Genomic DNA, 13778 nt, shown 5'->3' with positions numbered 1-13778 from the left:
TCTGTTTTCACCACCCTACAGCAGTGAAGGAGGCAGGAAGGCTGTCATCTCTCCATATCTAGGACTGCAGTCTTGCCTCTTGAACCCGATCATGGTGTCATGGAAGAATTTATTCCCAAGTATTTCTTACTAGAACCCCAGAGTTTTGCAGAATTTTCACCCCCATCCCACCCTCAAAATCCTCTGACCCTACCTATACTCATTGCATGCTCTGTGGTGTGATGATCATATTAACACAGACCTCGATGAGGCCATATTGCATAAAGCTGCAAATGTATATAAAGGGACATTGAGATAAAACACTCAGGAGCAAGGCTGCATCAGGTCCTTGAGCCCCTGGATGTCCTCCTTTCCTGAGCCCCGTGCTTCGTTGAGATTGCTTGGCCATGAGCTCAGTGACTGCCAGACATTCAAGACATCAGTGGCGTTCTGGGTTTGCAAAGGCATTTCCTGCCCTTGCTCCATTTCCTGGGATTGTTGCCAGGTGTTTCAAGCAGAACTCAACCAGTGACCAGCAGGTGTTCATTAAGTGCCTGTTGAATGCCTGGTGTTCCTGCAGGCGCAAAGCAGTTTAGGCACCTGCTCCCTGTTACCAGAGCCAGGATCCCATTTCAGTACTCCTGGGGAAAGTTGAGACAAAACAAAAATCACTCTGACACGTAGAATATTGAGAGGTGTTTTTTGTTTTTGTTTCTTTTTTTGTTTGTTTGTTTGGTTTTTTGTTTTGCTTCTCGATGATTACTTTGCTGGGGAGGAAAATGGAGACTAGTCTAAGATAATGCTACCCATGTGCCAGAGGAACATTCTGAGTAGATGGTAAATAAGAAAAACTCCGCTCCCGTTCCCCCAACATCTCTCAGTTGCTTCAAGTGTTACGCCCTCTCTCAGCACTGGGACCTCCCACCTCAGGTGACACTCGGGTGCATGATGGAAAGATCCAGGTTAGCTTGATGTTTTGGCACTAGATGCTCCCCTAGTAGCATCCCTTTCAGCTTCCCCTTTGGGGCTCCTGGCCTCATGGGGCTGTGTGCCTTGATGACTCTAGGCACCAGTGGGTCCCTGAGACCCTTGTCTCCCATCCAGCATCAATGCATCCCTCAGGCATATGCTGAAACTCCAAGGACCTTGTGCATCGCCAGAGGGGAGAAGGCACAGCACCCCCAAGACAAAGAGGCTGCACATTGCATGGCTGTGTTTAATACCTAAAGAAATGCACAATTATTGGGCAGTTTCTTACTCCTGGAAGATCTGTGACTCCAGACTCACCACTAAGGTGGGAGCACAGAATACTCCCCAGACTCTAGATGCTGTGGCACCCCGTGGTCGATGGCCACATTCCCCGCCCAGAGGATGACTTGGAGGAGCCCAGAGAGACCCTCCAAGGCAAGGCGGTGGCTTATGCAAGAGAAGGCAAGATATGGTACTCTTGGGACCACTTACAGACACACTCCTCTCAAATGAAGGAGCACTCGCTAAAATGAAACTGCTCAGGGATGGTTGGAATAGAGACATGGCAGCATACTTTTGACAAAGCAAGTATATAAAGGCTTTTACTAAAAGGGGCCAAGTGAGTCAGTGTTGGTGAAAGTTAGGGGTGGCATTATTTTTTATGGAAAGTACTTTCTCTCTGCTGGAGTCATCTGCTCAGCTAGGAATTCCTCTGGCTGGTGCCTCTGGAGTTGTGAAGTACAAAATGTCACAATCCTACCCCTGTGCAAAGCATGTTATTCTCACTGCTCTGTGGGGCACATTTTAGACAATGGAACTTAAAGTTACTTGAGAATAGCTCTGTCTGGAGCCCTGAGAGCCAGGATGAGATGGGTCACAGGTGAGTCCACACTCAGGAGTTCTTAGCACCCTGGACTTAATGGCTTTTGAGCCAGTTTTGTCCAACCTTCCCTTTCAAAAGGGTTTGACATAGAACTTTCCACACTAGCCCTCAGGTTTCCTCAGTATGCTGCCTCTTGCTCAAGCATCCTTTCAATTTTCCTACCTCTAAATTCAAATGGTTACAGGAGCAACATGAGGACCCTACATGGGTTCTATGTGCTGCACGTGAAGGATGAGAGAAAACAAGTGGGACAAATTCTCGATTCTGCAAGGAAAGGTTCTCTCTTCCATTCGCCTTGGCATAGATGCTCTTCTTGGTCTAGCTTTCACAGTACCACTTTTTGTTTTCCATTCTATTTTTTTTTTTTGTTACGGTAAAATATGCATAACATAAAATTTACCATGGTAACCATTTTAAAGTGCTATTAAATACATTCACATTGTTGTGCAACCATCATCACCACCCAGCTCCAGAACTTTTCCATCTTCTCCAACTAAGGCTCTGTACCCATCAGACACAAACTCCTTATTCTGCCTTCCCCCAGCCCCTGGCAACTACCATTCCCACTTTCTGTCTCTATAAATTTGACTTCAGTTTCACTGTGCCTCTTATGATACAGAGAGAGAGAATTATTTCTCTACCTTAGAAGAGGAGGAGGAGGAGCAACGATGGAAGAATATTGGGGAGAAAAGCACAGGTGGGCTAGCCAATGATAAATGGGAAATTGACCTTCAGCCCCATGATGCAGAGTCTGAGAAGTGGTGGGGATATAGGGTGGCCAGACCCATTAGTTTTCCCAGTGCTGAGGGGTTTCCCAGAACACCAAACTTTAGTGCTAAAACTGGGACAGTCCTAGGAAAACTGGGCTGGCTGGTCACCCTACATTTTAGACACTGGGGAGAGCCTGAGATCAAAAGGGCCCCTCACTTTTCTTCAGCAGATGAAATGTTTCTTCACATGAAAACGTAGGTCCAGATCCTGTCATATTTCTCCTTATCTGTGCACACCTGTGTGGCTGCCATCACCGCAGCCCCGTGATGCCCTCCCATGCTCGCTGCCCGTTTGCTGCACCTGCATGCGCCTGACACATTGCAGACACCTGCTCTGCCAGCTTGCCTTAGCTCCTCGTGCAGAGTTGGCCAAATCAAGAATGTTTCTGTGTGACTGAAAATACCTGGACACCTTTCCTCCTGCCTTCTCTCTCCCACTGCACATGCATGACTGAAGCACACATTTCAGTTGGGGCTCTGGGGAAGGGCAGGAAAAATAGGGGAAAAATAAAATTCATGGCCTTACATAATAAAGTTAATTTAAAAATGACATTAAGCTAAAAAGCAATGCAGTTAAAAAGTCATTATTAATTTAAAGTTATCACCAAAAATTATTAAATTTCTGAGTCCAAAATGTCCCCATGTTGCAGATGCACTGATGTTCTTATTTGGAAGGTTCTCACCAACCTCAGAAGTAAGTTGAACCCAAGCAAGTCTATATCATTTGAAAATAAACCCAACTCTGTAAACCTCATGGGAACTGAACCTAGAATATTAGACTGCTCGTCTGTGAGGAACATTGTCAGAACAGGCTCTACTTCTCTTTCTGAGTTTCATGATAACCTTCAACAAAGATGGAATACCCCTGCTATTTAGAACTTTGGAAGCTGTCATTTCTGCCTGGTGATATCACCAGCAATAAAACATCTTTTCTTTCCCATTCAATTCACTGTAATAAAGCAGAGCACAGTGCATCTCTGAAGAAACATGCTCAGACTTAGCTTTTTTAAAGAAATTATTGTAAGTAAAGAAGGAGGAAAGAAACACGGAAAGCAGCTCAACAGTCAAAGACAGGGTTATTTTGGAGAATAAACCAGAGACAGGCTTCTGGCTGATTTCGGTCAAGAGCATTCTTTCTCACAGACTATGGGTGTTTAAGGATTTAGGAAATGCGGGGAGCCTATCGCAGGCTCGGGATGTTTCTATGTGAGGGAAAGTTTATTGGGGGGTTGGAATCTCTGTTTGAAGGTGAGGTTATCTCAGGGTTGCCATGTTTCTGGTTGGAGGTGGGTTTATCTTAGGGTTGGAATTTTCTGGTGATGCTGACATTAGCCGTTAGGCTTATGTTTTGGGGCTGGATTTAGGTGGTTTTTTAACAAAGGAGCACTTAAAATGGCAGTGTTTGTCCAAGATGGCGATGCTCCTGCTCTGTCAAAAGTCACAGATGACATAATAATTGTACATGCTTATGGGGTGGAATGATGTTTCAGTGTAGGCACACATTGTGTAATGATCAAATCAGGGCAATTGCCATATTCATCACTTTACATTTTTATCACTTCTTTGTAGTGATAACCTTAAAAATCTTCTCTTTTAGCTTTCTTAAAATATACACCACATTATTATTTGCCATAGTCACCCTACTGTGTAGCAGAACAACAGAACTTATTCTCCTCAACTCTAACTTTATACCTGTTAACGAGCCTCTCCCATTCTGCCTTCTCCCTCCCCTCCCCAGACTCTGGTAACTGCTATTCTACTTTCTACCTCTACAAAATCAACTTTTTTAGAATGAGTGAGAATGTGCAATATTTGTCTGTCTGTGCCTGGCTTATTTCACTTACCATAATGTCCTCTAGGTTCATTCATGTTGTCATGAATGACAAGATTGCATTGGTTTTATGGCTGAAGAGTACTCCATTGTGTATATATACCACATTTTCTTTATTCATTCAGCTGGAGATGGGCATTTAGGTTAATTCCATAGCTTGGCTATTGTGAACTGCGCTGCAATAAACATGGGATGCAGATATATCTTCAGCATACTGATTTTATTTCCTTTGGATATATACCCAATCATGGGATGGCTGGGTCAAATGTTCTATTTTTTAGTTTTTTGAGGAACCCCCTACTGTTTTCCACAGTGGCTGTCCTATTTTACATTCCCATAACAGTGTGTGAGTTTTTGTTTTCACCAGCATCTGTTATTTTTTTTTCACCTTTTTGATAACAGTCATTCTAACTGAGGTAGGGTAATCTCTCACTGGGGTTTTGATTTGCATTTCACTGGTGATTAGTGAGGTTGAGCCTTTTTTCACATATCTGTTGGCCGTTTGCACATCTTCTTTTTTTTCCCTAATCAGCCAGAGATTCTTTACAACTCTGCAGGGGTGTTGGCAGACCCGACCACACAGGTGAAGTGAACCTGTGTCCCCTGCAGTATTGAGCAGTACAGCTGAGGATGGTCCCTTCAGCCTTGGGGATGTGGTCAGTGTCCGCTTCCGAAAGCAGAGGGCATGTTTCCACCCTTACTTGTGAGACTTCTCTTTGACCTATGTCACTGCGGATATGGCATTTTTTAAAAACTCATTTTTCTTCAACTTCCCCAACCCTCTGCCCTGCATTACGTTCTCTGATGGTCCTTCTGGCTACTTGCATGGGAATGTTTCTCCAGCCCTGCCACAGAGGGAAGCACATCCAAGTCCAGCCCCGATGTTCTTTCCTGTCCTTCTCTGTCACCACAGTCACATCCAGTTTCTTACCGCTGATGCGCTCAAACTGGTGTGCAAAACCAATCCTCCCCCCTCCTCCTTCCTGTTCTTGTGGTTTTCCTATCTCATTAGGGGCCACCGTGCCCTCCTTGTCATTCAGGCTGGAAACCCCAAAGCTTCCCACTTCTGGCCTCTCACATCCACCAGCCATCCCTTCATCTCTTCACTGAAATGGCTGACACCACTGTCTCCTCTTTCCCCTTCCAGTTATCATTGCCCCAGGGTAAGCTCTTGTGAGAATATCACTTACCTGGTCTCCCGGCACCTGTTCGTGGCATTTGTGGTCCATCAAACATGACTACCAGGAGGCCACAGATTGTTGCTGGCATCAGGTTCCCTGTCAACGGCATGAGTGGATCCAGGTGACTGTACACCAGGGGTGTCCAGTCTTTTGGCTTCCCTGGGCCACACTGGAAGTAGAATTGTCTTGGGCCACACATAAAATGCACTAACACTAACAACAGCAGATGAGAAAAAAAATCACAAAAACATCTCATAATGTTTTAAGAAAGTTTACGATTTGTGTTGGACCTCATTCAAAGCCATTCTGGGCTGCATGCGGCCTGTGGGCTGCGGGTTGGACAAGCCTGCGGTACACTTTCTTCCAACACCAACACCCACCCCAATCCCCTCACAACATCTTGACTGGAGGCCACTCAATACAAGAGTAAGGGCAAACTGTTCAGCCCCACTACCCAAAGTCTCCACCGTTTGAATTTCCCTTGGCTTTCAAGGCTAATCCTGCACGAAGGCCTCAGCCAACTTCTGCATTCCTACTGGGATCCTACACATCAACCCGGTACCGGTCCATTCCCCATAATAGGTTGCAGATCAAACACATAATTACCAGTTAATTTAAATATCTGACAAACCAAGCAGTTTTTTTGAGTATAAGTATGCCCCATGCAATATCTAAAGAGTAGTCAGACTGAAATGTCATTTTAAAAAAATCTAAATTCAAATTTAACTGGGCATCTTGCATTTTATCTGGCAATCTAGCTAGGACTCTAGGTTTCTGTTTTCATAAATGCTTTATTGATATATAGAAGGGTACAATGCAATGGTTTTCAATGTATTCACCGACTTGTGTAATCATTACCCCAATCTCAGTTTAGAACATTTTAATCTCCTCACAGAATCCCTGCATCAATTAATAGTTGCTCACGGCCTCCACCTCCAGACCTAGGTAAACACTAATCTATTTTTTGTCTTTATAGATGAGCTGATTCTGGATATTTCATGTGAATGAAACCATAGAATATGAGGTCTTTCATGACTGCTTTCTTTCACTTGGCATCAGGTTCTCAAGGTTCATCTGGGTTGTAGCATGGGTCAGAATTCCATTGCTTTTCATGGCCAAATATTATTCCATTGTATGGGTGTACTACATTTTATTTATTCATTCATCTGTTGATGGACATTGGATTGCTTAGAAGTTTTGGCTATTATGAATAATATTGTTATAAAAGTTTTTGTATATGTTTTTGTGTGGACATATGTTTTTATTTCCCTTGAGTATGTAACTAGACATGGAATTGCCGGGTCGTATGGTAACTTTATGTTTAACAATTTGAGGAACTGCCAAACTCTTTTTCAAAGTGGCTGTGCCATTTTACATTCTCACCAACAAGTGTGAAATTTCCAATTTTCTACATCCTCAGCCACACTTGATATTGTCTGTCTTTTTGATGTTAGCCATCCTAGGAGCTGTGAAGTGGTATCTCATAGTGGCTTTTATTTGCATTTCCCTGATGACTAATAATTGCAGGCATCTTTTCATGTGCTTATAGCCATTTATTTATCTTCTCTGGAAAAATACCTACTCAAATCCTTTGCCCATTTTGAAATTTTAAAAAATTATTAAATTGTAGGAGTTATTTATATATTCTGGATGCAAGGCCATTATCAGGTATACAATTTGAAAATATATTTCCTCATTCTCTTTGTTGTCTTCTCTTTTTCTTCTTTAAAGTATCTGTAGTCTTTGTTATATAGCCAGTCTAATCCCAAGGAATGCAGGAAAATGGGGGAGGGGCCAATTTTCAATGCCGAGGATTAAAAGAGGCCACCAATTCCCCATGTAAAGGTGGGCAGGGACTGCCAAATACCTGGCCAAAACACCTGCCAATCGTTCTGTGTCCTTCATTGTTTATCTTTTCGTCATTCCTCCTGTTAGGGGAGTAAAGCTTTTTTTTCTTTTTTTACAAATAATTTTTAATTATTATGGGTATGTAATAGTTGTAAATATTTATAAATATAAAATATTATGGGGTACATGTGATGTTGTGATACAGGCATCCAATGTTTAATGATCAAATCATGGTAATTTGGATATCCACCACCTCAAGTATTTATTAATTCTTTGTGTTGGGGACATTCCAATTCCATTCCTTTAGTAATTTTAAAACATACAATAAATTATTGTCAGCTGTAGTCTCTCTGTTGTGCTACGAACACTGCATCTTGTTCATTCTACTTAAGTGTATCTTTGTACCCATTAACCATCCCCAATTTCTCTCTCTCTCGTCTTTCCCTTTCTTGATTGTGTTCTCTGAAGTACAAAGTTTTCAATTTTGATGAAGTTCAATGTATCTATTTTTTCTTTTTCTGTTTGTGCTTTGGATATCATATCTATCTAATCATTACCCTCACTGGTAGTTGAGAGTGGGTGGTGTGGTGTCTGTCTCCTCTCTAGAATGTAAGTTCCATAGGGCAGGTGTTTCTCTCTGTATTCCCAAAATCCAGAAAAATGTCTAACACATAGTAGGTGCTCAGTAATTATTTATTGAATGAGAAAAGAAATGAATAATGTGGATTTAACGAGGGATGAAACAGGAGTGCAATTGGAAGGAACCCAAAGTAAAGGGAAATTTCTCTTTTTATGACGGGGAGAGTTGAGTGCGTTTATAGACAGGATGGGAGGCACCGAAGGCAGTACATGAAGAAGCAGAGGAAATCAGGGCAATATATGGAGCAGATGGAGAGGGATATGTCTAGGCCACAGGTGAGACTTGCACAGGAGGCTCAGCTTTCTCACAGAGACACAGATGTGCATCTGGCGGGAACAGCGAAAGCTCACAGCTGGGGCCTGGCTGTTGTCTGTGCTGAAGCGGGTGATGCGATGTGCCTGCCTGAGGGTGTGGAGCTTGTAGAAGAGGCTGAATGGAATCATGACCAGGAATAACAAAGGGATTCCAGTCTTTGCAGAGGACCCAGGGTGATGGGTAATCATCACTTTCTTGCCACCAGTTCCCATGCTTGGGGAGGGGGGTCATATTTCCCAACAGAACTCTACACCTGAAGAATAAGAGAAGCAGATAATCTGTACCCCATGTCTGAATGGCATCCCTGCACCCCGCCTTTCTGCAGTGCACCCTTGGCTCTAAGATGTAGGGGCCACTGGGTGTATTTTTCTAGAGTTGAGGAGGTGTCCCAACCTCCAACCCTGACCCAGAATCTGTCTTGTGCTTTTATCCAGAAATGTACTTGATAGAGTGAATTTAGCCTCCCTTTTCCTTTATTGTCCAGGGCTCAAATGTTCTCATTCTTGATGGTGTGTTATAAAAACAAGCATTTATTCCTAATGGGTGTTATCCATTTCATAGCAAGTACTAACATCAAAAATAAGCCATTGCTTTCACTGAAAGCAAACTGAGTATTTAACGACTGTATCTGAGCACGGCTGAAGAAATGAGATGAAATTTTGGAGAAACACATTGTCCTGACAAAATGTTATTGCCCAGGGTGGAGAGGAGCTAATTATAGCTGTCTAGCAGGGCTGCAGCTGGTGTCTTGAGGAGGGCTCCACAGATGGTGGTGGGATGCGCGTCCACCCCGGGTGAGGGCATATGTGTGTCATTGCTCATCTCTTGCTTGGATCCACAAGCAAAACGGCATTTTTGAAGTAAAAGTGTCCCTGTTAGAACCAGGGGCTATGTATGTTCTGCAGTGAAAGCAAAGGTGAAGAGAATTATGCTAGAAATGTCTCAGCTTCTGTTGTTTTAACTTGTGTGGACTGATTTCAGTCTTCATGTCACCATATTATACCAGACATCAGGAGCCTCGTGGGCTCATTTCCTTTCCAAGCTGACGGTGTCCCTTAACCCTGACTCTGGGTTTCCCTGATGCTGCCTAGAATTCTGACCTCTCCAGCACACTCGATAACCTCCTCTGGATTCAAGGTTCTCACAGTTCCAATAAAGAAAGTCCATGCTGCCTGACACGAGGAAGGTCAGCCATATTTACACTTGTAACTGAATACAGTTGAAACTGAAAAAAATTGCAGAAAAGGTATTTTTAAAAATATTTAGGTTTATGTGAGAGTTGGAGGTTCCAAATATTGCTTTATTCAAACAGCTGGGAGGTAGATGCACCTGACCTTGGTTAAGCTATTTGCACTTGTAAATGTTAGAGTTTGACTGTATTAGTAAAATTATATTCATTAATGTAAATTGCATGCAGTGAAAACTCTGTCTTTCCCATGTGTATGTAAACAGTGTTTGCCTGAATTCGCAGGGCATGCAGTCATTACGAACGCACTCAGATTTTGAAGCTGTATGCACTCTATTCTGGAAGTCATTTAGCTGTGATTCCTCCAAGATCCTTATTGTCAAAGTGCAAAATCAGACAAACAGCAATTTAGCACCATCCAGGCTGAGCACCTTTCACCCTTTGCAGTAGCTTCCAGCCCCAGGCTGCCACCATGGGTTTCATGCTGATGCAGCTTCTGGCCAGGTTTCTATCTTCCTGAGTTTTCTGGAAATACATGGGGCTGGTGGCTGGTGGATGCGGAAGCAGATCCAGGGGAGGCACTGCTGCTTGGTGGGAGGTCTTCACAATCCTCCCACAAAGTCGCTTTTATTTTATCCCTAAAGTCACCCTAATTTGCCTTTTCTTCACTCATCACCACACATGAGGCCCTTTAACATGAGCAAGGATTTCCTACTTTGGGTCTTCACCTGCACTCTGAGTGATTATGGCAGACCCAACTAGCTGTCTTCTCAAAATTCACCCCATCCCTTCCTCTTTTTCAACATAATTCCAATTTTTAAGGTATCCATTCTCTTCTGTGAGCCCTGAGCTGTCCAGCCTCAGAGAGCTCATCTGGATTGGTATAAATCAGCCCAGTGACCTCAGGCTTTTTTCCAGTAATTCATTTAAGCAGGAGAGTAGGCTGCAAATCTGGCCGGGAGACACAGGGGTAGTGTGCTGTGTTGGGGGTGGTGGTGCAGTGTTCCTGGGAAGGTTTTCTTCCCTCCAATAAAAAGAACTGAGGGATAATCAGCATGGGATGTTGGATGAAAGTTTGGAACTGTTGCAGCCATCTTGCAATCAAGAGGAATTATCTCACAAGAACAATCCAGCATGAAGGGTAAAAAGATAAAACTAATGTCGATCTATGAATTGGAGTAGGATAAAAAAAATCTTGGTTTCTGATGATATTTTTGAGCTGTTGAGTTAACCAGCTACTAACTTCAGACTTCTTGTTAGGCGAGACAATATTGTCTTTATACTTAAACCAAATGAATCAGGATTTTCTATAGCTTTCAGCAGAAGAATCCAAAATAGTAGTCTATGCCAAAGGTAAACTGATTATTGTTACTTATTGTATTTAACATTCCCGGTGATCCTCTAATGCCTCAGAAGAATTCAAATTTCTGGGTATAGCCTGGGAGGCCCTCTAAGATCCAGCTCATGTCTCCATCACTAGATTATTTTCTTTTACCTTCACTCCTCATCGCCCCCAAACCCCCACAAACAATGTCCATGCAAAAGCTCTTGCAGATCCCCATCCTGTTGCAATGTCTTCACATGGGCCCTGCAGTCATCCTAGAACATCTTGTGACTGTTGATATATCTGGATTATTCATCAATCCTTCTTCTAGACTCAGCCCAGGTCCTGTCTCCGAGGTATGATTCTCCACTCTTTTCTTCTGCTTGGCTGGGTGGTCCCTACTTGGTGCTTCCTCAGCTCCTTGTGCATCCTCTACCCCAGGGTTGCCTTCCTATGCCCTTTACTATTAGCGACAACGGGAGCCATCCCAGAGGTCATGGCCATGAAAGCCAGAGACAGATCTGGCTTATCAACTCTCCCCAGGCATTGTTGGTTCATGATGCTTAATGGGTGTGACTAATGTGCCAGCTAAGTCTAGGTTAGAGAGGCAAGGCTTGATCACTCTACCATCATCTATGCATCCTGATAGCATGGCACTTTTTACACTGCCATTTTTAAAAGAGTTTTGTTTTTTTCTTTTTCAGTTTTTATTCTAGATTCCAGGGGTACATATGCAGGTTTGTTGCAAAGGTATATTGTGTGATGCTGGAGTTTCAGGTACGATTAAGCCCATCACTCAGGAAGTGAGCACAGTACCCAATAGGTAGTTTTTCAACACTTGCCCCCCTCTCCTCCCTCCCCTTGTATTCCCCAGTGTCTGTTGTTCCCTTCTTTGTGTCTATATGTACTCAATGTTTAGCTCACACTTATAAATGAGAACACGTGGTACTTGGCTTTCTGGTCCTGCACTAGTTGGCTTAGGATAATGGCCTCTAGCTGCATCCATGTTGTTGCAAAGGACATGATTTTGTTCTTTTTATGGCTGCATAGTATTCCATGATGTATATGGACCACATTTTCTTTATACAGTCCACCACTGATGGGCACCTAGGTTGATTTTATGTTTTTGCTATTGTGAATAGTGTTGTGGTGAACATACAGGTGCATGAGTCTTTTCAGTAGAACAATTTATTTTCCTTTGGGCACACACCCAGTAATGGGATTGCTGGGCTGAACGGTAGTTCAACTTTTAGTTTTTTGAGAGATCTCCAAATTGCTCTTCACAGTGGCTAAACTAATTTACACACCTATCAACAGTGTATAAAAAGTGTATAAGCTTTCCTCCTTCTTCTCAACCTTACCGACTTTTTTTTTTTTTTTACTTTTTAACGAAAGCCATCCTGACTGGTTTGAGATGGTATGTCACTGCAGTTTTGATTTGCATTTATCTGGTGATTGGTGATGCTGAGCATTTTTTCACACTTCTTGGCCACTTGTATGTCTTCAGAAGTGTCTGTTCATGTCCTTTTGCCCACTTTTTAAAGGTTTTTTTTTTCTTGTTGATTTATCTAAGTTCCTTACAGATTCCAGATACTAGGCCTTTGTCAGATGCAGAGTTTGTGAATGTTTTCTTCCATTCTGTGTGTTGTCTGTTTATTCTGCTGATAGTTTCTCTAGCTGTGCAGAAGCTCTTCAGTTTAACTGGGTCCCACTTGTCAACTTACAGTGATTTTTAAACTCAGTTTCCATGTGTCCAGTTTATCACCACAGTAATCCACATCCCATAATAATTGTTGGGGACCATAATCAACAAAGGAGGGGAAATGACCTTGTGTTTGTCCTCAGGCTTCTCACTGGGTGACCTGTGGCCCCTTTTGGGTTGGGGTGGGCAGTGCCCCGGGAAAGCTCCAGGCATGCTCTCGGGTGCACTGTCACACTTGCATCTGAGAACACTGCTCGCCGCCTCAGCAAGGGCCAGATCAAGAAGATCCTCACAGCACTAAAGAGAGAGGCACAGACGCCCACCTCTCTGTCCAGTTCTATCCTAATCATTCAAGGAGCTGGGCAAAGCTTGATGATGACAGGGAACTCAGTGTCTCCTCCCAGTGTGTCAGAAGAGAAACAGAAGGCTGCAGGGAGTGAGGCCCAATGCGTGCCGCAGGTTAGAGACCTCTGTGTGCTAGGACCTGGGCCCCCAGGGTAGTCCACCCCAGTCCATTAGGCCATTGCCCATGTTCTTGCCAACACTCTTTTTTGGGCTTCATATATTAGACTATATGAGCCTTTGAGGAAATGGCCTATTTCATATTTTGTATATCTCCAGAACAAAGCAATTAAAAAAATTTCATGTACCTGGCATGCTGCCTGATTTGTAGCCTGCATTCACTAACTCTTAGCTGGAGAGCTGTTAGTTTAGTATTCAGCATTCCTTCTTCTCTTGGGTTTCTCTCTCCCGCTGTGTTCTCAGCACTCTCATGCTATTTCCTTCCTGTTCACACACATGGGGTTTCCTCACCCAGCCAAATCTGGAGTTCATATCTTCTCTCCTAAAGCCTCCCGGCCCCTCGGGAGTGCTGATGTGGAGCAAGACTGGAACCGCTGCAGGGTAGCCTGGAGCCAGTGAGTGATAGGAATCACGTATTACACGACAGACATATATGTGGTCCCCTCTGTGACAGGGCACACAGTGCCCTGGGGAACACAAGTTCACGGGTCCTGTGGGAGGAATTCTAGAATGACAGAGGGTGGTGCATCCACTCAGCCAGCCATGGAGGGGAATTCAGGGGAGATTTCAGAGAGAAAGGCACAGCAGAGCTGGGCTTTGAGGGAAAAGTAGGAGTTTCCAAGGCAGA

At 43.6% G+C, this 13778-nt stretch overlaps 1 annotated feature.

The window, feature by feature from the left end:
• Nucleotides 209-739: an enhancer, noted in NCBI's record as "OCT4-NANOG hESC enhancer chr2:130376971-130377501 (GRCh37/hg19 assembly coordinates)". NCBI's record gives its function as "activates a minimal SCP1, AML or CMV promoter by ChIP-STARR-seq in naive H9 embryonic stem cells {active_cell/tissue: H9 hESC(naive)}" and the evidence as "EXISTENCE:reporter gene assay evidence [ECO:0000049][PMID:30033119]".

Source organism: Homo sapiens, chromosome 2 (genome assembly GCF_000001405.40).
Source record: "Homo sapiens chromosome 2, GRCh38.p14 Primary Assembly".
Taxonomy (NCBI): domain Eukaryota; kingdom Metazoa; phylum Chordata; class Mammalia; order Primates; family Hominidae; genus Homo; species Homo sapiens.
Note: the sequence above shows the minus strand (reverse complement) of the source record. Positions and strands in the feature narration are given on the sequence as shown.